The sequence below is a fragment of the Homo sapiens genome, chromosome 5, assembly GCF_000001405.40.
Source record: "Homo sapiens chromosome 5, GRCh38.p14 Primary Assembly".
Taxonomy (NCBI): Eukaryota; Metazoa; Chordata; class Mammalia; order Primates; family Hominidae; genus Homo; species Homo sapiens.
The window spans coordinates 154,593,679-154,618,554 of NC_000005.10; the positions used below are offsets into that span (position 1 = coordinate 154,593,679).

Sequence of the window (24,876 nt, forward strand, 5' to 3'; positions counted from 1 at the left end):
GAACACTATTGCTATCAACAGTGTTGTACAAGTATCTGTTTGAGTCTCTGTTTTCAATTATTTTGGTTGTATATCTAGGAGTGGGATTGTTGTATCATATTGTAACTCTATGTTTAACTTTCTGAGGAACTGTCAAAGGATTTTTCACAACAGCTGCACCCTTTCACATTCCCACTAGCAATGCCCAAGGGCTCCAATTTCTCCACATCCTTGCCAACACTTGTTATTTTCCATTTTCTGGTTTTTGTTTTTTTAATAATAGCCATCCAAGTGGATATAAAGTGATATCTCATTGTACTTTTGATTGGCATTTCCCTAGTGACTAATGATGTTGAGTATCTTTTCATGTGCTTACTGGCCATGTAGGTATCATCTTCAGAGATATGTCTATTCAAGTCCTTTGTCCCTACTCTTTTTTTTTTTTTTTTTTTGAGACAAGGTCTTGATCTGTTGCCCAGGCTGGAGTGCAGTGGCTAGATCATAGTTTATTGTAACCTCAAACTCCTGGGCTCAAGCAGTTCTCCCACCTCAGCCTTCTCAGTTGCTAGGACTATTGGCGCATGTCACAACAACTGCCTGTTTTTTTCAATTTTTTTTTTTTCTTAAGAGATGGAGTCTCTGCAGGGTGTGGTGGCTCATGCCTGTAATCCCAGCACTTTGGGAGGCCAAGGTGGGCAGATCACTTGAGGTCAGGAGTTGGAGGCCAGCCTGACCAATGTAGTGAAACCCCATCTCTACTAAAAATATAAAAATTGGCTGGTCTGTGGTGGCACAAGCCTGTAATTCCAGCTACTCACAAGGCTGAGGTGGGAGAATCACTTGAACCTGGGAGGCAGAGGTTGCAATGAGCCAAGATTGTGCCACTGCATTCTAGCCTGGGCGACAGAGGGAGACCCTGTCTCAAAAAAAAAAAAAAAAAAGAGAGAGTTGGAATCTCACTATGTTGCTCAGGTTGGTCTCAAACTCCTGGCCTCAAGTGATCCTCCTACCTCAGCCTCCCATAGTGCTAGGATTCCAGGCATGAGCCACCACACCAAGCACCCCATTTTTTAATTGGGTTGTTTGGTTGTTTGTTGTTGAATTGCAGGTGTTCTTTGTATATTCTGGATGTTACTCCCTTATCAGATATATGATTTGCAAATATTTTCTTCTATCCTGTAAGTTTTACTCTCTTGATGGTGAGAGAAAACCTTCAATGCACAAAAGTTTTTAATTTTGTGGTAAAGTCCAGTTTGTTTCTGGCATGTGTGGCCTGTGCTTTTGGTGTCCTATTTAAGAAATTAAGGCCAGGCATGGTGGCTCACGCCTGTAATCCCAGCACTTTGGGAGGCTGAGGTGGGCGGATCACCTGAGGTTGGGAGTTCAAGACCAGGCTGACCAACATGGAGAAACCCCGTCTCTACTAAAAATACAAAAATTAGCTGGGCATGGTGGCCCACACCTGTGATCCCAGCTATTCGGGAGGCTGAGGCAGGAGAATCACTTGAACCCGGGAGGCGGAGGTTGCAGTGAGCCGAGATCTTGCCATTGCACTCCAGCCTGGGCAACAAGAGCAAAACTCTGCCTCAAAAAGAAAAAAAAAAAAGAAATCAACACCAAATCCAAGGTCATGAAGATTTTCCCGCATATTTTCTTCTAAGAGTGGTATAGTTTTAGTTATTAAGTTTAGGTCTTTGATCTATTTTTAGTTAATTTTTGTATATAGTGTAAGGTAAGGGTCCAGCTTCATTCTTTTGCATGTGGATATCCTGTTTTCCCAGTACCATTTGTTGAAAAGACTGTTCTTTTCCCATTGAATGGTCTTGGCACCTTTAGACATGAGAGAACTAAGGCTCAGAGAATCACAGGAAATATCTGAGCCAGAATTTGAAATAAGGGCAGCATTCCAGGCCTGTCCCTCCACCAAGGCCAACTTACAGTCCCTTTGGCTTCCCCACATGCTCACAGTATGTCAGCTGATCGATGAACACCTGGCCCTGGGGGGTCTGGAGCCCAGAGAGGGAAAGGGAGCCATCCAACAGCAGCAGTACAGCTGAGGGAGCAGAGTGGGGCCTGGCATCCGGGCAGCATGACCCCTGCCCATGAGGATGCTCCGGCTAGCGGTCAGGAGGAGCAGGGTCATTCCATGCACACCTCCTGTGGTGAAAGGCCCTGCTGGCAGCCCATAAATCTGGCTGGGCCCTGCTGATCCTGTTTACCAGATTAGTGGACTGGGTGTCTCCGTATAAATCACCCAGGGTGATTTACAGGGAGGCCCTGGAAATTTCGAAGTCCCGACTGACTCAGGCCCCCAGGGAGGGGCAGATAAGTGCCGCCTGAGCCCACTCAGCATCTCCCGTCCCAGTGAAGGCTGATGGTGGGGACCCTCCTCCTCCACCCGCCCTCACCGGGTGAGTCCCTCTACATCCCTGTTTAAAGTTGATCCTCCTCTTGTGGGTCCTGACATACTTTAAAAGTTCCCAAGGCAGGCCAGGTGCAGTGGCTCACACCTGTAATCCCAGCACTTTGGGAGGCTGAGGCGGGCAGATCGCTTGAGGCTGGGAGTTCGAGACCAGCCTGGACAACATGGTGAAACCCCATCTCTGCTAAAAATACAAAAATTAGCCAGGTGTGGTGGTGTATGCCTGTAATCCTAGTTACTTGGGAGGCTGAGGCAGAAGAATAACTTGAACGCAGGAGGTGGAGGTTGCAGTGAGATCACACCACTGCACTCCAGATTGGGCAGCAGAGCAAGACTCTGTCTCAAAAAAAAAAAAAAAGTTCTGGCAATTTTAGGAACAGCCTGTATCAAATAATGTACAGCAAGAATGAAAAGCCAGCCTCTGTGGCTCACAGCTATAATCCTAGCACTTTGGGAGACCAAGGCAGGAAGTTCACTTGAGGCCAGGAGTTCGAGACCAGCCTGGGCAATATAGCAAGACCCTGCCTCTAAAAAAAATAAGAAAAGAAAAAGAATGTAAAATAGGATAGGCAAATTGTGAAAAAACAATGAAGGTAAACTGTGAGATAGATAAGGTTGCAATCTTTTTTTTTTTTTTTTCGAGACGGAGTCTCACTCTGTCACCCAGACTGGAATGCAGTGGCACGATCTTGGCTCACTGCAACCTCCGCCTCCTGAGTTCAAGCAATTCTCTTGCCTCAGCCTCCTGAGTAGCTGGGATTACAGGTGTGTGCCACCATGCCCGGCTAATTTTTTTTGTATTTTTAGTATTTTAGACGGGGTTTCACCATGTTGGCCAGGCTGGTCTCAAATTCCTGACCTCGTGATCTGCCTGCCTTGGCCTCCCAAAGTGCTGGGATTGCAAGCATGAGCCACCACGCCCTGCCAAAGTTGCAATCTTTATGCAATAAAATGAATAGCTAACTTTTACGGGTTGCTTACCATGTGCCATCCATCAACCTACCTTTTTTGACATGAATCATTGTTTAACTTCACAATAAACCTATGAGATAGGTACTATGATTATCCCCATTTTATACACAAAACCACCAAAACATAGAGAGGTTAATTGACTTGACCAGGGACAAGGTCACCAAACTTGAGTCCCAGTAGTGAAGGTGAGATTCAAACCAAACAGTCTGCCTGTCAGAGCCATGAACTTACCCACTTCGGTGTGCAGCATTCTTCCTGCTTATCACTCACTTGTTGACACAGGATTATGAAGGTAGAAGATGGCTAAGGCAGTAAGTGGTACAGTGTTTAAGAGATGGCATTTGCAGTTGGAAAGCCTAGGATGTAAGTCCCAGCTCTGCCACTTACTAGCTTGTGATGTGGGCAAATCACTTTATTATCTGTGCCTCAGTTTCCTCATCTGTAAAATGGGGATAATTAATAATAGTACCTCCCTAGTAGGAAAGCTGGTCTCCTGCTGTGTATTTTAAGTAATAAATAAGATTATGTATTTAAAATGTGTTCAGCACAATACCAAGCATGTAGTTATGAACACCAAATATGTGGTAGCCTATTATTATTTATTTTAACTCTGACCTTAAGAAACTCCTAAACCAGTGGTGGAGACTCAAATTTACACAAGGAACTCCAAACAAGATGGAGTACAATACTGCAGAATGGAGGTTCAAGCTAGAAGGGGCAGTGAACTCTAAGTGGAAGGACCATAAAAGTACCATGGAGCAGTGGCTGGGACCTGAGCTATGAAACCTGAGTGAGATTTCCTAAAACCACGAAAATGGGGAAACACTGAGAGCACTTTCTTATCAAAAATACGTGGCAAGTGATGGACTACACACTATCAACTGCCAGGCCATACACTGTTTGCACCTGTCAACATCTCCCCTTTGGCTGTGATATTCCTATCAGTGGAGATAGTACCTAATTCTTCACAATATTTCTTCCATGCCTCCCCATGACTGAATCATAACAGATCCCCAGTACATGTTGGATGGATGGATGGATACATGGATGGATGGATGGATGGATGGATGGATGGATGGATGGTTGGATGGATGGATGGGGGATGGTTGGATGAAGAGGTGAGTGGATGGATGGATGAATGGATGGATGATGGCTGGATAGATGGGTGGATGGATGGATGGATGAACAGTTAGATGAGTAGATGGATGAATAAATGGATGGATGGACAGGTATACAAAGTAGATGGACAGGCGAATAGGAGGATGTTTGTTACACGGATGGATGGATGGATGGATGGATGGATGGATGGATGGATGGATGGTTGAATGGATGGATGTTTGGGTTGATGGGTAGATGGATGGATGAGTGGGTAGATGAGCATGTGGATGGATATATGGATGGGTGGGGTAAGTGATGAGAATGTGACTGAAGGTCAGGTGCATGCATGGTGGCTGCCTACTGAGTTCCCACCTCAGGGCCATTGTCTTTAGGGTTATTCTCTAAAATATTCCCTTGCCTGAATTATTCTCCAAAATATTCCCTTGGCTTACCTTCCTTGTTTCATGTAAGGCTGTGGTTAAATATCACTTCTTCAAGGAAGCCTTCCCTGATCACTCAATCTAAAACAGAACCCGCTTTGACTTTGTACCCTCCTATGTTTCTAGCAGTGTTTATTCCTCCCTAGCATAGTAGCTATTTGCTTGTTTGTTCTCTCCCATCAAATGTAAGCTCCATGGTGGCAGATGCTTTCTCTGCTTTGCTCACTTCTCTATCACCAACACCTAATACAGAGCTTGGCACAGAGAGGGTCTTTAATGAACATTTGTTAGATGAACTGAAGGATATAATAAGCAGCTAGGAAGGAAGGGTGAGATCTGATCTTGGAAATCTCTGGAATCTCAGCAAAAATTGACAAAGTGCTCTATTAATTATAATGCTGATGTTTTCTCTCATTTGTTCCACAATTTACACATCACAAAGGACTTTGCCATTCATTATCCCATCTGCACACATTTGAAGTAGGCAGGAAAGACAGTTGAGTCATTTAAAAACTTTTCACAGTAGTGATATTTTATCGTTCATACTGATGTGTTGCAAAATTTCCACTTGATACTGGAAGGGTAAAAAATACGGTAAAATTCAGCCAGGCATGGTGGCTCACACCTGTAATCCCAGCACTTTGGGAGGCTGAGGCAGGCAGATCATGAGATCAGAATTTCGAGACCAGCCTGGCCAAAATAGGGAAACCCTGTCTCTACTAAAAATACAAAAAGTAGCTGGGTGTGGTGGCGCACACCTGTAGTCCCAGCTACTCAGGAGGCTGAGGCAGGAGAATCGCTTGAACCCAGGAGGCAGAGGTTGCAGTGAGCCAAGACGGCGCCATTGCACTCCAGCCTGGGTGACAGCAAGACTCTGTCTCAAAAAAAAAAAAAAAAAAAAAAAAACCATATATCTATGGTGAAATTCTTTCCATGAGCCTCCCACCCTTCTTTTTGCCTTGAGATATTCACTGTGGAGAACTGAGGGCTACAGTTACAATCTTCACTTTAATAGGTGGGGAAACTGGGGCTCAGATAAGCTAAGAGACTTGCCCAGAGTCACACAGCTACTCAACAGCAGAGCCAGATGTATTTGTTTATTCCACCTTGGGTATCTTTTTTTTTTTTTTTTTTTTTTTTTTTTAGTAGAGACAGTCTCACTGTGTTGCCCCAGCTGGTCTAGAACTCCTGAGCTCAAGCAATCCTCCTGCCTTGGCCTGCCAAATTGCTGGGATTGCAGGTGTGAGCCACCATGCCTGGCCCACCTCAAGTATCTATTAAGCACCAATTATACAGCCCATGAGATATTATTTCTTGGACCCCCAGTTCCTCTTAGCCCAGGGCAATCCCAGGCAGAACTAAGTAGGGCGGGTTTGAGGGGGACTCAGTCGTCTCTCAGCACAACCAGCAGAGACGCTTTTCTTGCCAGTCCCCAGTCTTGGATGAGCCCACTCAGCCCCACTAGGCTCCTGGGCAGCCAAGATGTGAAAGGATGCCAATCTGGGCTGATTGGAAATATTCTGAGCACCTCTGCTGGCGCTCTCAGCTGCCTAAACATCCTTTCTCTCCTCTCTTGTTGATCAGCTACTCATTGTGTGCCAGTCACTTGCCATGCAGTATCTTCCCTAACACTCTCAATAATGACATATATATATTTTTTAGATGGAGTCTTGCTCTGTCGCCCAGGCTGGAGTGCAGTGGTGTGATCTTGGCTGATTGCAACCTAACCCCCCTGGGTTCAAGCAATGCTCCTGCCTCAGCCTCCCAAGTAGCTGGGATTACAGGCGCCTGCCACCATGCCTGACTAATTTTTGTATTTTTAGTAGAGACGGGGTTTCACCACGTTGGCCAGGCTGGTCTCGAACTCCTAACCTCAGGTGATCTGCCCGCCTCGGCCTCTCAAAGTCCTGTGATTACAGGCATGAGCCACCATGCCCGGCCTTCCATGACCTATTTTTATCTCCACTTGAACTGAGGTCCAGAGAGCTCCTGTGGCCAGCCCAAAGCTGCACGGCTACCCAGGGAGAGCTGGGGCTTGAACTTGGAGCCTACAGCCCTCGGACTCTAGAGCCAGTGCTCTTTGCTGCCTCCTTCTGTACCCCATTCCTGGGGTCCCCTGCTCCTCAGCCTCACCTGACTTTTGCCCCCACACTCTGTGCCAGAGCCCTGGGCTTCTACCTGTCCAAGGAGACTCCTTGGCCCTTCAGGGCCGTGGCTTCCCCTGCCTCTCTTCAGAATTTCTCCACTTCCTCTCCTGACACCATCTTCCTTTCCATCACGACCCCCCTGGGCCATCCCACCCTGCTCCTGCCCCTTCTCCCTTTGCCAGTTTCTCCCCCACAGAATATAAACCATCTTCCCCATTTTTAAAAGAAAGCCCTCCCCAGTTCTTTTTCTTCTTCAAACTACCACTTCCTATTTCTGCTTTATTTTACGACCAAACTCCTTGGAACACCAACAACAAAAGTTCTATGTGTCTTTTTCAGCCTGTGCTCCTCCAGAATGACCTGGGTGTTGGAGAGATCCGTATTTCAGTCCTCACTCTGCCTCTGGGTTATGGGGTGACCCTGAGCAAGTCACAGCACCCCTCTGGGCCTCAGCATTCTCATCTGTAAAATGGGGATATTGACATGCTTCCCTCACGGCCTCATTGTGATCACAAGATGAGATAAAGTACGTAAGGAACATAGTGCCGTATGGCAGGGGGACTCACTTTGTCATTCAATGCTGTCCTCCCATACCTGGCGTAGTCCTGGCACGGGTAGGCTTAACATAAAACATTTGCTGCATGAGGAACTGCAGGAGTGAACTTCACAGGGGCCTTGCCTCCCCATCACCCTTTCCTGGTTAGGCCCTCCTTGATTGTTTTTATTTTTACTTTTTTTTTTTTTTAGATGGAGTCTCTCTGTGTCGCCCAGGCTGGAGTGCACTGGCGTGATCTCAGCTCACTGCAACCTCCGCCTCGCTGGTTCAAGCAATTCTCCTGCCTCAGCCTCCCAAGTAGCTGGGATTACAGGCACCCACCACCACGCCCAGCTTATTTTTGGATTTTTAATAGAGACAGGGTTTCACCATGTCGGCCAGGCTAGTCTCAAACTCCTTACCTCAAGTGATCTGCCTGCCTCAGCCTTCCTGTGCTAGGATTACAGGTGTGAGCCACTGTGCCTAGCCAGGCCCTCCTTGACTGTGACAGTTAATTTTTCTTTTATTGTGATAAAATATATGTAACATAAAATTCACCATTGTAACTATTTTAAGTGTATAATCCAGTGGCATTAAGTACATTCACATCGTAATACCGCCATCATCACCATCCGCCTTCAGAACTGTTTCATCGTTCCGAATTCACACTCTATACCCATGAACAATAACTCTCTAGTCCTCCCTCTCACAGCCCCTGGTAACCACTGTTCTACTTTCTGTCTTTGTGGAATTTGACTATCTGAGGTATCACACAGAAGAGGAATCACACAATATTTCCTTTGTGATGGTTAATTTTATGTCAGTGTGGCTAGTCTATGGTACCCAGTTTTTGGTCAAACATCAGTGTAGCCGTGTGTGGTGGCACATGCCCGTAGTCCTAGCTACTCCAGAGGCTGAGGAGGGAGGGTTGCTTGAGCCCCAGAGTTCGAGGCTGCAGTGAGCTATGATTGTGCCACTGTACCCTAGTTTGGGCGACAGAGTGAAACTCTATTTCTAAGGAGAGAAAAACAATAGTGTAGATGTTGCTGTGAAAATATTTTTTAGATCTGATCAACATTTTAAACCAACAGACTTTGGGTAAAACAGATCAGCCTCCAGGAGGTGGGTGGGCTTCATCCACTCATTTGAAAGACTTAACAACAAACACTGAGGTTTCCCCAAATGGAAGAAATTCTGCCTGAGTTTCCAGCTGCCAGATTCAAGATTCGGCATCAACTTTTGCCTGAATTTCCAAACCTACAGATAGATGTATCAACTCCTACAATTATGTTAGCCAAGTCCCTAAATTCTCTCTCTCTTTCTCTATCTGTCTGTGATACATGTGTATCCTATTGGTCCTGTTTCCCTGCAGAACCCTAACACACTGGCCCTACTGCCTCCACATACACTCTGTCCCCATCTCCTCCATCTGCCCAGATACCAACTCCTCCAGGAAGACTTCTGGAGCATCCTCTCTTGGGATACTTACTGCATGTGGCCTCATGGAGGGAATTTTATCCACATGAGTAGGGACCACTTTTGTTCTTTGCTTCAAATGTTTGTTTCACTCTGTTTGTTCTCAGCAGTACTGGAGTAGCTGTACTTTTTAGGTGTGCATAGTATTTGTAAAATTTGGTTAATTTGTCTAATGGCTCCAGGGAGCTTTGTAGAAAAACTATCCCCATCTCAGGAAAAGCTCTGTCCTCACACCAAAAGTTGACTCAGAGCAGGATCCCAGCCAAGGGGTTAAATTCCACACCACCCTCCCCATAGCCAATTCCTGGGACTATCCCACCCTCAGCCTAGAGCCAGAGAAACCCTTAGGGGCCATGTGAATAAATGAGACCTTTCCCCTCTTAGACTTTGCCAGTAAGCTAGGTGGAAGCAAAGGCCCTGGCTCCCCTGTGTCCCCACCTTGCCCTTCAGGAGTCAGAAGGCCCTGGGATGTGCCAAGGATCCTTGTCAGGCCTGGGATCTGACAGCAGGGCACCCAGGACCACTCTCTGGCTTCCTGGAGCATGATGGAGACAGTGACAAGGATGAGGAGGACAGGTCTGCCCCTCAGGACCCCAGGCCCCGGCCACAGGAGTCTGTCTTGCAAGGTGATTAGGAGCCAGGTATAGCTTTGTTTTTTGTTTTTTTTTTTTAAGCCAGTCAGATTTAGCAATGGGGGTTGTATACCAAAGATCTGCTTTTGAATCCCAGCTCTGCCACTTACCAGTCATGTCACTTGGAGAAAGCCACCCAACATCTCTCAGACTATTTTGTCATCTCTAAAATGGGAAAAATAAGGCTTATCTCATAGACTACATGGAAGAGCAAATGATATCACACACAAAGTGCTTGGCACATGGCAATCACTCCATAATGACAAATATTGTTGATGAGGCTATTTTTATTATTAGCTGTGTGACTTTGGACAAATGGCTTAAACTCTCTGTGCCCTCCTTTTCTGATATCTGAAATGAGGATAAAAATAACAACAAATGCTCCACAGGGTGGCCATGGGCATTAACTGAGACGAAACACACAAAGTGTCCTGGAGGTAAGTAATCTCTTAATACACAGCTATTATTAGTCATCAATATTTATTATTATCCTTATTATTATTCAGGCTGAACAGCTGAGGTAGCCCCTTGATCCCTCTAGCTCTGATGAGACATCTGAGGCTCTGGGTAGAGGAAAAGCCCCACTCAGAGTCCCCCAACCCCCACCTCTCAGGCCCCTTTGAAGTCCCCAGGGGCCCCAGGCCGTGATAAATGTCCCAGCCCTATAGGTTATGACTTGCTGCCAGATTTGACGTTAACCATCATGCCCTGGCTGGGTGTTTGAAGAAAGTGCCTAAATGCTGCTGGGGCTGATGGGGGAGATAGCAGCGAGGCCGGTCTTTGAAAGCCCCAGCCGGCCGCCCTGGCGAGAGGGAGCAAGGAGGCCGGCTCCGCTCCAGCTGTTTAGTCTACCAATCATGGTGGTGACAGGGAGTCTGCGCTGGCACAGAGAGGGCTGCTGGGTGCTGGGTGGGGAGGGGCCACCCGGCGAGTTCCTCACTTGCTTGCTTTTTCTGAAGTGTGTGTATGTGCGTGTGCTTTTCACACCTTCAGGGCAAACGGAGAAACGGTTGTAAAGGAGAAAGAGCGCTGGACGGGGAGCCCAGAGACCTAGGCACTGCCACTGTCCTATCTCTGCTCCTTTTCCCCTAGGGAAGGGGGGCACATGTCATGAAGAGGTTCAAATTCCAGGCTGCAGAGTCAGCCAGGTCCTCCTCCCGCCCCGACTCTGCCTCTCGTTACAGTGAGTCACTGGGAAAGATCCTTGACTTCCCTAAGCCTCAGTTTCTTTATCTTTAAAATGGGAGTGAATAACAGTCCCTCCCCCACAGGGTCAAAGGCAGATTAAATAAACTGATGCATGGAAAGCATCTTGCATGGAACTTGGTGCACAGTAGGGACTCAGTAGATAGAAACTGACCTTCCAGATCAGTTGAGGACACAGGGACAGAGAGCCAGGTTTGCTTCTTGGCTCCCAGTGTGTCCCCAGACACCAAATCCCAGGTTCCACTTCACTCTACCTTTCTCCATACATTTGTTCTCTCAAACAACTTCCATCAGAGGCCGAGTAGCCTCATAATGAAAAACAATAACCAGGCATTTTACATGTCACAGCCAACTCGGGAACAAGCATTATTATTAAGCCATTTTACGCTGTGGAAACTGAGGCTCAGACAGAAGTGATCGGCCTAGTGAGTTGCAAGAGAGACCCCTCGCCTGTGCTATGTGCTATGTGACTCTGCAGGTAAGGCACTAGAGATTAGAGACTGGCTTCCCAGACCACTTGCTAACCAGAAGTGTTCCTCATCTGCAGAATGGGAGTAATGACGCCTGACTCACGGGTGGCTGGCAGTTTTAGATGAAATAACAGGGAACCATGCCCGGCACTTAGCAAGGTCTCATAAATGGGAACTGGTGTGATTCTTGAGCACTATTCTGTGCCAGCCTCTGCCAGGAACTGGAGACCCGAAGCACAATCAGAGAGGGGCTCAGCCTTCAAAGCACCTGTATCAATCAGGACAAGCCAGGTTTTCCTACAGTAACAAAAAACCTAGCTTTGGCCAGGCGTGGGATTATGCTGTAATCCCAGCACTTTGGGAGGCCGAGGCGGGCGGATCACTTGAGGTCAGGAGTCTGAGACCAGCCTGGCCAACATGGTGAAACCCCGTCTCTACAAAAACACAAAAATTAGCCGGGCATGGTTGCAGGTGCCTGTAATCCCAGCTACAGGCTGAGGCAGGAGAATTGCTTGAACCTGGGAGGCACAGGTTGCAGTGAGCCAAGATAATGCCATTGCACTCCAGCCTAAGTGACAGAGCGAGACTATCTCAAAAAAAAAAAATACCCCAGGTTTATTTCTTACTCACACTGCATGTCCAACACAGGTCAGCATGAGTTTCTGTTCACCCAGTGACTCAGGGACAGGGGCTGGTGGACCCTCCACCTTGACACATTTGCAAGATCACTGTGGCAAGGTGAAGCAAACTTGGGGACTCACACACTGGCTTATAGTTTCTACTGCTAACATTTCATGGTTAAAGTAATCACATGGATATGTCTAACCTCAAAGGGGACAGGACAGTATAATCCTACCTTGCGCCGGGAAGGAGGAGGAAAATGACTTCCACATGCCCCACAGTCCAGGGGGAGAGGCGTAAATAGGGTAAACCACAACTCTGATGGAGTTAAGTCCTTACTGTGTTACAGGAACACAGAGGAGAAGCAACTTTATTGGGAGGCCTAGGGGGGCCTTCATTGCCCAGGTGACCTGTGAGCCTAGCATGGAGATCAGGGGTTATTAAGTTGGGGTCCAAGGATCCATAATTGCATGGCTGGCCTTCAGGGACCCAAAACTTCCTGAAACTTCAAAATCTTGGATGTAGGTGAGTTTATGCATTTTCGCAAGAAGAAAGTCCTTAACTTTCATTATCTAAGACTTGGGCTGCCAGATGGTCACTACGTCTTTCTTCTGACTTTTGTCTTTCTATTATAGTGTACCATATCTTAAAGTGCAATGCTCAAACCACCCGCAGCAGACAATCTAGACAGTTGTCAAAAATGCATAGCCCAAGGCCCAGCTCTGACCAACTGAATTGGAATCTCTGGGGGTGGTTCCAATCTGCATTTTAACAAGCTTCCCAGGTAGCCCTCATACATCTTGAAGTCTGTGGTTCTCTCAGCCAGAGATAGCACTCTCCCAGCCCAGTTAGGCTGTGAAGAAAGCACAGAGAGAGCTGAGCCACACGGTTGAGAAGAATCCTCCAAGGCCAGAGAGCACTTTACAGTTTCCAGAGGGCCACCACCTCGTGCCTTATCCAACCTCACTGCAGAACGGTGGAGTGGAGGTGCCAGCTCTCCACTGGCACAAAAGAGGTGCTCAATGAATATCACCTAGCGAAATGACAGGAAATGAAAAGAGAGCCAAACAAGACAGGATGGCCTAAAAATGACATGCCCTGAAATCAGACCACCCTGAGTTCAAATTTCAGTCTTGCCAGTTCCTAGTTGGGTAATCTCGGACAAGTTACCCTACCTCTCAGGACCTCAGCTTCCTTGTCTGTCATCAGGAATGTGTCTTTCTTCCCTCTAGGACTGTGTTGGCACACAGCACAGCTTCTCTAAAGGTCACCAGAAGGATCCTAAGTGCTTTAATAATTCTCGTGTCAGGCCTCCTCAACTCCATTCTAGAGGTGAGGGGAGGGAGTCCTGGAGATGGCTCCCCTAGAAGCACTAGAAGCATGATTCATGCCCTGGCAAAGCCCGTCCCCACCAAGCCCTGGGTCTTGTCCTCGTCTTCCCAGAGTCATGCTGGCCAGAGCTGAGACTCCATGCTATCATGTGAGCAGTCAGCCCTAGACACTCACATTCACCCCTGCCAGGAAAAGGGGATTCCTTTGTCCCTGATAACTCCTGGGGACCCACCCTGGCACAGGTAGGCAGACCCCCAGGAGGCAAGGCTGATGGTTAAATCAGGGGTTCCAGCCCACCTGTGCTGAAGAAGAACCTGGAAAGTGTGTTCAATGCCCAAATTTCTGGTCCCACCCCTGGCAATTCTCATTCTGCAGCTTTGGATTAGAGCCCAGGGATGGCATTTTAACAAATTCCCAGGGATTCTGATCTTCAGCCAGATCCCGGAGCCGCTGCTCTGACCTCCAGGTGGTTTAGAATGTGTGGTTTGGGGGCCAGGCGCAGTGGCTCATGCCTGTAATCCCAGCACTTTGGGAGGCTGAGGCAGGCAGATCACCTGAGGTCAGGAGTTCAAGACCAGCCTGGCCAACATGTAAGACCCCGTCTCTACTGAAAATTCAAAAATTAGCTGGGCGTGGTGGCAGGCGCTGGTAATCCCAGCTACTGGAGAGGCTGAGACAAGAGGATTCCTTTATTTTCTTTTTTTAATTTTTTGAGACGGAGTCTCACTCTGTCACCCAGGCTGGAGTGCAGAGGCGTGATCTCGGTTCACAGCAAAAGGAGGATTGTTTTAACCCAGGAGGCAGAGGTTGCGGTGAGCCAAAACTGCACCATTGCACTCCAGCCTGGGCAACAAGAGCAAAACTCTGTCTCAAAAAAAAAAAAAAAAAAAAAAACAATGTGTGGTTTGGAATGTCTGGTAGGCAGATGGAATCCTGGCCACCCAGGATCCTGTCCCCAACAGGGATGCTGCTTCATGCTAAGCCCTTTCCCTCTGCAGGTTGCCACCAGCCCGCCCATCTCCACCATGCCCTATGCTACCCTTCCTTGTGGCCTGAGCCTGGTGGTGGGAGCAGGTCTGCAAGGAGAAGGCACAACTGGATTTTTAGATGGATTGGGTGGTAGAATGAGTTCTGGGCTGGGGGATAAGAAATCCCAGCAGAAACCCTTCTGTTTTCTATATCCCTTTCAGGCTCTCAGAGCCTCAACTTCCTCATCTGTATACAGGGCTTATTCCCCTGATGGAAAATTAGAGATGGACACTTACCATGGAGCTAGTGAAGCTTAGGTCTCAGGGGACCTCATGTACACATGGCTCTTCTAAAGCCCTGCACCTAATTTTGTTTTCTCTTCCTTAAACAGGGGCCCATAAAATCCACACCAGGCCCTGACTGTAAGAGTGGCTATGAAAATGCCAAATGAGGGATAAAACCAGAGGGCTTTCACCTAGGGAACTCACCACCTCCAAAAGGGGAAGAGAGCCCTCCTAAGGTGCTCCTGGAGCTCCCCTCCTCACCAGCTTTGGTTTCTCCACTTTCCTACCGGATGAGTCCTGCCTCTTCCTGCCTGGGAGTTTATCAGCAGGGAGTGGCAGGGCCTGCTAATCAGGGGCTGCTCCAGGCCCCCGGGATTAACCCTGCAGACCCTGGGCCAGGGTCAGCAGCCCCGGCTACCAGTTATGCTCCCGGGTTCTCATCTGTGGATTAGATTGCTGGGGAGGGAGGAAGGGGAACTTTAGGGAGGGACTCACTGGCAGCCAGAGAGATTAAAACTAAATGAGAATACCTCACTCTCCTACTTAGAACCCTTCAGGGGGCTGCCTCTGCGTCTAAAATGAAACCCAGACCTTGCCCCACCCATCGGGCCCTGCCCTCCTCTTTGATCTCAGCCCTGGCTGTGGGGTGCTCCAGCTTCGCCTGCCTGCCTTCCTTCCCTTTCAGACCCCTTCCCTCCTCATTTGCTCTTGCCCTGAGACTTTGGCACTGGCTCTTCCTGTGCCTGGAAACTCCTTCCCAGATCTTCAAAAGGCACCTCCTGCAGGTCTCTTCTCAAACGTCACATCCCAGAGATGCCTTCCCTGGCCACATTTCTAAGGTCTTCCCCTACCCACCCCACTGTGCCACTCTCATTTTTCCCTGTTTAATTTTATAATCAGAGGCTGACATTCATATCTATTTTCTGCTATTCATCTGCCTCTCCCATGAAGAAGTGAGCTGAGATTCTCTCCTCAGCGCTTCAGACAGAGCCTGGTGCATAGAGGGGGGCTCAGTAGTAATTTGTGGAAGGAAAGGATGAGGGTGGTAGATCTGTGAAACCACCCTCCTGGGCTCTCGGCCAGGGTTGGGGTTGGGGGATAGAGGGTGGTTAAGCCAGGATCCCTGCCCAAGGAGCCATGTTCTTCCTATTGTGAGAGAGCAGATTGCGTAGGTGGGTTTGGAAAGAGAAGCAACACTGCTGGTTTCAGCTGCAAGCCCAGAGCTGGTTTGGACAAGGTGGTTCCCTGCCTGCCTGTGTTAGAACCCTCAGAAAACTTGTTACAGAGATGGCTGCTTGACCTGCCCCTCCGGTGGAAGGGAAGGCTTCCCAGAGGAGCTGGGCTGGGACATTGGTAATCAGGTACACCTGCCAGGGCAAGGAACTACAAGATCATGAGAAGACAACAGACGGTCTGGCTGTGGAGGGCTGGGAGCAGCAGGGCACCTCCTCTCCTCCCCAAGCCCAAGACTCCCAGGTGGGTTATGCTGAAGACCAGGGAGGCCCGAAATGGAGGAGCCTTGGGCTGGCTTCAGACCCCTGCTGGTCCTGCCAGCACCACCTGCGGCAGCAGGTGCAGGTCTGCCCTCAGCTCCTACCAAGCAGGGTCAGAGACCCCTCCTAGCATGCCTCCAGAACACTCTCAGGGAGACCGGGCCAACCCTCAGCCCTTCTTCCCCTTCCCTGCAGCAAGAGCCCTGTTTCGCGCACTCTGAACTGGGCTTGGGCCATGTTCCTGCCACACACAAACTGGGTGACCATAAGAAAGCTACTTACGGCCGAGTGCAGTGGCTCACGCCTGTAATCCCAGCACTTTGGGAGGCCGAGGTCGGGGGATCACAAGGTCAAGAGATAGAGACCATTTTGGCTAACATGGTGAAACCCCATCTCTACTAAAAATACAAAAATTAGCTCGGCATGGTGGCGGGCGCCTGTAGTCCCAGCTATTTGGGAGGCTGAGGCAGGAGAATCGCTTGAACCCGGGAGGCGGAGGTTGCAGTGAGCAGAGATCCCGCCACTGCACTCCAGCCTGGCGACAGAGCGAGAGTCCGTCTCCAAAGAAAAAAAAAAAAAAATCATCTCTAAGCCTAAGTTATGGGATAATAAACAAGACCATGGGAGGGTTGAACAACTTCATCGTGAAAGGCCCGAGCACATGGTCCTGAGCACGGCGAGACGCCTAAGTGCAACTGCGATGTTTGTCCTCTTTCCCCAGAACCCAAAGCGCCCGGGCCTGCGTAGCCCTGGCCTCCAGCGTCACCTGCTGGTCCAGTGGGAGAATGTCGCACCCTGCCGTCCTGGGGTGAAGGACTCCAGAGCCCCGAGTGCCAGCCTCAGCCCTGCCCCGACTCCCTCCCTGCAGCACGCGGGACGAGCCCCAACCCCAACCCCCGCCGCCGCGGGCCGGACCTTCGCATCCGTAACTTCGACACGGCAGTCTCCCTCTGCCCATTAGCATGGTTTGGAGGCTTCCAGAGAGCCGGGGGAGCCAGGAAATAAATCCCTTCTGTGAGGGACGGGACCGGCTCAGCCACGGCAGCTGGCCACGCTGCGTCCCCCGTGGAGGAGCTGTCACTGGGCGAGTGGACCCTGAGCCTGGGACCCAGTCCCTCGGGGTTCAAGACGAGTTCCAGGCTCGGCCTTGTTCCTCACCAAAGCAAAACCCACAGCTGCCTGCTCCACCACCGGGCGCCCACGGCGCAGGGCAGAGCAGGTGCTCCGATCCCCGTTTCACCTGCCGGGCGCACACACTCCCGGGCCCATACCCACGCCCACGCGCCCAGCAAGTTCCTGGGGTTTTTTGTTTTGTTTTGTTTTCTGGCTTCATTTGTTTAATGTTTCTCCCCTCAATCCTCCCCATCCCCTCACCGTCAGCTCCTGGAGGGAGGACAGAGCCTGGACTGCGTGCCCCATCCCCCGGATTCCAAGCACCTGGCACACGACTATGTGTTAAATAAATAAAATAAATAAATACTGTTTAAAAATGAAAATGAAATGTATTAAATTAATAAAATAGAACATTTCTAGCGACACACACAGGCACGCCAATCTCAGTCACACTCGCCCCAGGCACAGACACTGTCACTATGATTTGCCATCCCCGCCTCCCCACGCTGGAGAGCAGCGCCCTCACAGAAGGGCCGAGCCGCGGACGGGCCACACACCCGCGTGTACACACAGTCCGAGAACGCACACACGTACACACACACATGCGCAAGGCACGGCCTGGCCTTCAGGCACAGAGAGCCCATCCGGTTTCCCACTCAGCTCCCACAACTTCCCCCACACTTTGGTACTAAGGGCTCAGCTGGGTCCTTTTGAAGCCACCAAGGGAGGGAGTTGGGAAGGGCCCCAGTGACAAACAGTGGGGAGCAAGAATTTTACGAACTTAAGGGCTGTAAATTTCGGCCAGCAAATCCCCGCCCCTGTCCGTCCGCCCCGCCTTCCTTCTCACGAGGAGGGGGGCGTATCTTCCCACCCTCTGCTCATCCCCACCCTTCTCAAACTAATCAGCCAGTTCAAATGGTACCCTTCACCTATGATCACACCACTGTCATCAACGCCACCACCACTTAGATTGCCAGTGTTTGAATCCTAGCTCTGCTCTGAACAGTAAGTGCCCTTAGACAAGCGACCTCTGTGTCTTCCACTGCGAAATGGGAATAATAATAGTACTTACTCCTGGGAGAAGATGTGAGAATGAAGAGATAATGCACTAAAGCCCGGGGCCGCTATGCCTGGTCATTGTTAAATATTCATAAAATGGGAAGTATAGTTATTATAGGGTCTTTAAAATGATTATTCTTAGGATGCTATTTAAACTTAAAATAGCAGAGTTGGACAGGTTTTTAGAGACCTGTATTCCAGCTCTGTCTTTGTAAGCTGGAGAAAAAGAAGTCTAGAGAGTCGCTTGCTCAAAATCACACTGCCAGTCAGTGGTAGAACCACGTCAAAAGTTCAGATCTCCTAGGTGAGGAGTTGTTAGACATAATACCAAAATCACAATCTGTTTTCTGAAATTGATAAATTGGGCCAGGCGTGGTGGCTAACACCTATAATCTCAGCACTTTGGGAAGCCAAGGCAGGTGAATCATTTGAGGTCAGGAGTTTGAGACCAGCCTGGCCAACATGGTGAAACCTCACCTCTACTAAAAATACTAAAAATTAGCCAGGCATGGTGGCGCATGCCTGTAGTCCTAGCTACTTGGGAGACTGAGGCACGAGAATCACTTGAACCTGGGAGGCAGAGGTTGCAGTGAGCCGAAATTTGTGCCACTGCATTACAGCCTGGGCAACAGAGTGAGATTTTGTCTCAAAAAAATAAAATGAAATTGATGGACTTTATTGAAATTAAAAACTTCTGTCCTTCAAAAGACATTGTTAAGAGGATAAAAAAAGCCACATATTGAGAAATATTTACAAGTCGTATATCCGATATATAAGTTGTATCAAACATATATAAAGAGCTTGTAAAAATCAGTAATACAAAAACAAACAATCCAATTTTTAAATGGTCAAAAGACTTGAACAGACACTTCACCAAAGAAAATGTTTGAATGACAAATAAGCACTTGCAAAGAGGCTCACCATTAGTCATTAGGGAAATGCAAATTAAGATAATAATGAAATACCACTACACATTTACTAGAATGACTAAACTGGGGCCAGGCGTGGTGGCTCACGCCTATAATCCCAGCACTTTGGGAAGCTGAGGTGGGCAGATCATCTGAGGTCAGGAGTTCGAGACTGACCTGACCAACATGGAGAAACCCCATCTCTGCTAAAAATACAAAATTAGCAGGGCATCATGGCGCATGCCTGTACTCCCAGCTACTTGGGAGGCTGAGGCAGGAGAATCACTTGAACCCAGGAGGCAGAGGTTGTGGTGAGCCGAGATCATGCCATTGCACTCCAGCCTGGGCAACAAGAGCGAAACCCTGTCTCAAAAAAAAAAAAAAAAAATGACTAAAATGGGAACGGAAAGCCAACAATACCAAGTGCTGATGGAGATGCAGAGCAGCTAGAACTCTGATGCATTGCTGATGGGAATACAAAATGGTGCAGGCACTTTGGATTACAGTCTCACAGTTTCTTATAAAGTTAAACATATACTTACAATAAAACCCCAGAAGGGTGGGGGCAGTACTCACATCTGTAATCTCAAAACTTTGGGCAGCCGACATGGTAGGATCACTTGAGGCTACGAGTTTGAGACAAGCCTGGGCAACACAGTGAGACCGCCCCGTCCCATCTCTACAAAAAAATTAGAAATTAGCCAAGAATGGTGGTGCACATCTGTGGTCCCAGCTACTCATGAGGCTGAGGTGGGAGGGTTTCTTGAGCCCAGGAGTTTGGGGTTGCAGTGAGCTAGGATCTGGCCACTATACTGCAGCCTGGATGACAGAGCAAGACCCTCTCTTTAATAATAATAATAATAACATGTAATGGGGCCGTGGCAGCCAGGAAGGGGAGTGAGCACAATAGAAATGACATTCCTTGCCAAAGTGCGGTGGCTCACACCTGTAATCCCTGCACTTTAGGAGGCTGAGGCGGGTGGATCACCTGAGGTCAGGAGTTCAAGACCAGCCTGGCCAACATGGTGAAAGCCTGTCTCTACTAAAAATACAAAAATTAGCTGGTGTGGGGGTGGGCGCCTGTAATCCCAGCTCCTCAGGAGGCTGAGGCAGGAGAATCACTTGAAACCAGAAGGCGGAAGTTGCAGTAAGTTGAGACTGCACCACTGGACTCCAGCCCGGGTGACAAAAGCAAAACTCCATCTCAAATAAAAAAAAAAAAGAAATGATATTCCCTAAGGGCCAGTGACCTTTCACGTTTAGCCCCAACATGTTTGGTGATTTGAGGGTGATAGTCCTACTTTGAATAATAATAACAAAACCCAACAATCCCATTTCTACTCATTTATTTACCAACTGAAATGAAAATTTATATTCACACAAAAATCTGTATATAAATGTTTGTAGTAGCTTTATTTGTAATCAGCAAGAACTGAAAAGAACCCAAATGTCCTTCAACTGGGGAATGGATAAACAAATCGTGGTACATCCATGCAGTGGAACACTACTCAGCAATAAACATGGTTCCTGTATGTATTATGCTGAGCAAAAGAAGACTCAAAAGGCTACATACTCTATGATTCTGTGTATAGAACATCTGCAAAAGGCAAAACTTTGGGGACTAAAGAGAGTGGGCAGAAGGGTTCACACAGGAATTGGGGGATAATTAAATTATTCTATGTCTTGATTGTGATGTTGGTTACATGACTTCTGCATTCATCAAAATTTGCAGGGCCATACTTGTGGAACCATAACAAAGGTGACTTTCACTGTAAGTAATTATGCCTTATTTTAAAAGAAGAATTCAGATCTCCAGGATCCCAGCCCAGCATGCTTGTCACTGCACCCTCTCCAGGCGCTGTGTGATCTGTGGGCCAAAGCTCCGCCAGTGATTCTTAAGCTTATCTGGGTTTAGAAATCCTTTCCAAGAAAGCTGAGGCTCAGAGAGGGAGAGGAACTCACCCAAGGTCACACAGCCAGTTCATGAGAAAGCTAGGATGAGCTCTTCAATCTTCTGACTCACAACCTGAGCTTTTTGCATGTCACCATGCTTCATCATTCACCTTTATGTTTCCTTGGAAATAATTGTTGGTTTATTAATCACATTTAGGTGGTAAAAATGTGATGTAGCATAGTGATGCTTCCTCCCCTGGCCAATATTCAGGGAACCACCCAGCGCACAGGAGGAAAGCCTGGGTGAAAATCACAGCTCCGCCTCCTGCAGCCCTGTGACCTCAGACAAGTGTTGTGACTGCTCTGAGCTTCAACTCCTCCAATTGTGAGATAGAGATAGAAATACCAATACCACTTTGGGAGGCCGAGGAGGGTGGATCATGAGGTCGGGAGTTCAAGATCAGCCTGGCCAGCACGGTGAAACCCCATCTCTACCAAAAATACAAAAAATTAGCCAGGCTTGGTGGCGGGCATCTGTAATCCCAGCTTCTCGGGAGGCTGAGGCAAGAGAATTGCTTGAACCTGGGAGGCGGAGGTTGCAGTGAGCTGAGATCACGCCACTGCACTCCAGCCTGGGCGACAGAGTTAGACTCTGTCTCAAAAAAAAAGAAATACCAATGCCTACTCTATACAATTTTCAGGAATGCTAAATAAGATAAACCATAGATAGCACCTAAGTACCGGGCTCATCATATGTCCTCAATAAATAAATGATAGCTATTTTTATTACTCCTATTAACTACCCAGGGACTCAGACTGAACCACTATGCAGCATGACAACAGTGGCTCAAATAAAACCATGAAAACCACTCCCTGATCCTGTGATATCAATGGGACTGTGAGTGTGCCACAGTAGGAACTTTGATACAAGGAGTGTGTTTAGGAAAGCAAGGACAGAGTACGGGGGTCCAGGAGTACCCCATTTCAACCACTGACTGCCTTGTAGCCTTTGGCAAGTCCCTGCTTCTCTCTGGGTCCCAGTCTCATCCTACTGATGGAATTGAACTAAATGATCTCCAAGTGCCCTTTCAGCTCATGGCAGGGATCTCAAAAGTCAGTGTGCCTCAAGACAGGGATGCCTTCTCTCACCACTCCTATTCAACATAGTGTTGGAAGTTCTGGCCAGGGCAATTAGGCAGGAGAAGGAAATAAAGGGTATTCAATTAGGAGAAGAGGAAGTCAAATTGTCCCTGTTTGCAGATGACATGACTGTATATCTAGAAAACCCCATTGTCTCAGCCCAAAATCTCCTTAAGCTGATAAGCAACTTCAGCAAAGTCTCAGGATACAAAATCAATGTACAAAAATCACAAGCATTCTTATACACCAATAACAGACAAACAGAGAGCCAAATCATGGGTGAACTCCCATTGACAATTGCTTCAAAGATAATAAAATACTTAGGAATCCAACTTACAAGGGACGTGAAGGACCTCTTCAGGGAGAACTAAAAACCATTGCTCAATGAAATAAAAGAGGATACAAACAAATGGAAGAACATTCCATGCTCATGGATAGGAAGAATCAATATCGTGAAAATGGCCATACTGCCCAAGGTAATTTATAGATTCAATGCCATCTCCATCAAGCTACCAATGACTTTCTTCACAGAATTGGAAAAAACTACTTTAAAGTTCATATGGCACCAAAAAAGAGCCCGCATTGCCAAGTCAATCCTAAGCCAAAAGAACAAAGCTGGAGGCATCACACTACCTGACTTCAAACTCTACTACAAGGCTACAGTAACCAAAACAGCATGGTACTGGTACCAAAACAGAGATATAGACCAATGGAACAGAACAGAGCCCTCAGAAATAACGCCACATATCTACAACTACCTGATCTTTGACAAACCTGACAAAAACAAGCAATGGGGAAAGGATTCCCTATTTAATAAATGGTGCTGGGAAAACCGGCTAGCCATATGGAGAAAGCTGAAACTGGATCCCTTCCTTACACCTTATACAAAAATGAATTCAAGGTGGATTAAAGACTTAAACGTTAGACCTAAAACCATAAAAACCCTAGAAGAAAACCTAGGCAATACCATTCAGGACATAGGCATGGGCAAGGACTTCATGTCTAAAACACCAAAAGCAATGGCAACGAAAGCCAAAATTGACAAATGGGATCTAATTAAACTAAAGAGCTTCTGCACAGCAAAAGAAACTACCATCAGAGTGAACAGGCAACCTACAAAATGGGAGAAAATTTTCGCAACCTACTCATCTGACAAAGGGCTAATATCCAGAATCTACAATGAACTCAAACAAATTTACAAGAAAAAAACAAACAACCCCATCAAAAAGTGGGCAAAGGACATGAACAGACACTTCTCAAAAGAAGACATTTATGCAGCCAAAAAACACATGAAAAAATGCTCACCATCACTGGCCATCAGAGAAATGCAAATCAAAACCACAATGAGATACCATCTCACTCCAGCTAGAATGGCAATCATTAAAATGTCAGGAAACAACAGATGCTGGAGAGGATGTGGAGAAATAGGAACAGTTTTACACTGTTGGTGGGACTGTAAACTAGTTCAACCATTGTGGAAGTCAGTTTGGCGATTCCTCAGGGATCTAGAACTAGAAATACCATTTGACCCAGCCATCCCATTACTGGATGTATACCCAGAGGACTATAAATCATGCTGCTATAAAGACACATGCACACGTATGTTTATTGCGGCTCTATTCACAATAGCAAAGACTTGGAACCAACCCAAATGTCCAACAACGATAGACTGGATTAAGAAAGTGTGGCACATATACACCATGGAATACTATGCAGCCATAAAAAAGGATGAGTTCATGTCCTTTGTAGGGACATGGATGAAATTGGAAATCATCATTCTCAGTAAACTATCGCAAGAACAAAAAACCAAACACCGCATATTCTCACTCATAGGTGGGAATTGAACAGTGAGAACACATGGACACAGGAAGGGGAACATCACACTCTGGGGACTGTTGTGGGGTGGGGGGAGGGGGGAGGGATAGCATTAGGAGATATACCTAATGCTAAATGACGAGTTAATGGGTGCAGCACACCAGCATGGTACATGTATACATATGTAACTAACCTGCACATTGTGCACATGTACCCTAAAACTTTAAGTATAATAATAATAAAATTGAAAAAAAAAGTCAGTGTGCCTAAGGAGTTTGTCAAAATGCTAATCCCCAGGCCCACCATGGATTCTGGAGCAAGGTGTGGAAATCTGCAGTTTAAACTCACATACACCCAGGGGTACACTTTAGAAAGAGCTAGGCTTGTGCTCCCTGACACCATGTGCAATCACCCTTCTGGGCCTTTGCACAAGCTGTTCGTTCCCACTGCTTAGAACATTTTTATCCAGATCTCTATCTGGTTAACGGTACTCATTCTTCAAAATCCAGCTCAGAGTCCCTTCCTCCAGCCTTCCCTGATTTCTACTTCCTCCAACTGGATTGGGCACCCGCAGCACTCTAGGCTTCCCCTTCTTTCTTAGCATATATACCACATCATGGTGATTGTTCTTTTAAAATTATGCACACATTTTCACTGTAAAAACTGAAAACATGGCAATGGATCACTAGTCCCCTTTACAACCTGCCCCCCTGTTTAATGTAATTTCTTCCAGACACATTTCAGTGCATTTACAAATATATCCCTGGTATACCTAAAAGCTAGGATACTGTTTGTGGAATTTTATTTTGCATAACTGGTATCATCCTTGCTTTTTCCCTCATAGCATGCATAGGAGACCTGTCTGCATCAGC

At 47.5% G+C, this 24,876-nt stretch overlaps 1 non-coding gene across 1 annotated transcript, besides 4 other annotated features; it reads right to left on the reverse strand.

Annotated features, from left to right (window-relative positions):
• Positions 1–2,333: 2,333 nt before the first annotated feature.
• MIR3141 (microRNA 3141) lies at positions 2,334–2,394 on the reverse strand. Its single transcript, NR_036094.1, has one exon. It is a non-coding gene; the product is annotated as a microRNA 3141 (primary transcript).
• Positions 10,000–10,518: an enhancer, noted in NCBI's record as "H3K4me1 hESC enhancer chr5:153983238-153983756 (GRCh37/hg19 assembly coordinates)". NCBI's record gives its function as "activates a minimal SCP1, AML or CMV promoter by ChIP-STARR-seq in naive H9 embryonic stem cells {active_cell/tissue: H9 hESC(naive)}" and the evidence as "EXISTENCE:reporter gene assay evidence [ECO:0000049][PMID:30033119]".
• Positions 10,519–11,036: an enhancer, noted in NCBI's record as "H3K4me1 hESC enhancer chr5:153983757-153984274 (GRCh37/hg19 assembly coordinates)". NCBI's record gives its function as "activates a minimal SCP1, AML or CMV promoter by ChIP-STARR-seq in naive H9 embryonic stem cells {active_cell/tissue: H9 hESC(naive)}" and the evidence as "EXISTENCE:reporter gene assay evidence [ECO:0000049][PMID:30033119]".
• Positions 17,053–17,102: a silencer, noted in NCBI's record as "silent region_16544". NCBI's record gives its function as "represses an Ori minimal core promoter by ATAC-STARR-seq in GM12878 lymphoblastoid cells {active_cell/tissue: GM12878}" and the evidence as "EXISTENCE:reporter gene assay evidence [ECO:0000049][PMID:35858748]".
• Positions 17,504–18,273: an enhancer, noted in NCBI's record as "H3K27ac-H3K4me1 hESC enhancer chr5:153990742-153991511 (GRCh37/hg19 assembly coordinates)". NCBI's record gives its function as "activates a minimal SCP1, AML or CMV promoter by ChIP-STARR-seq in naive H9 embryonic stem cells {active_cell/tissue: H9 hESC(naive)}" and the evidence as "EXISTENCE:reporter gene assay evidence [ECO:0000049][PMID:30033119]".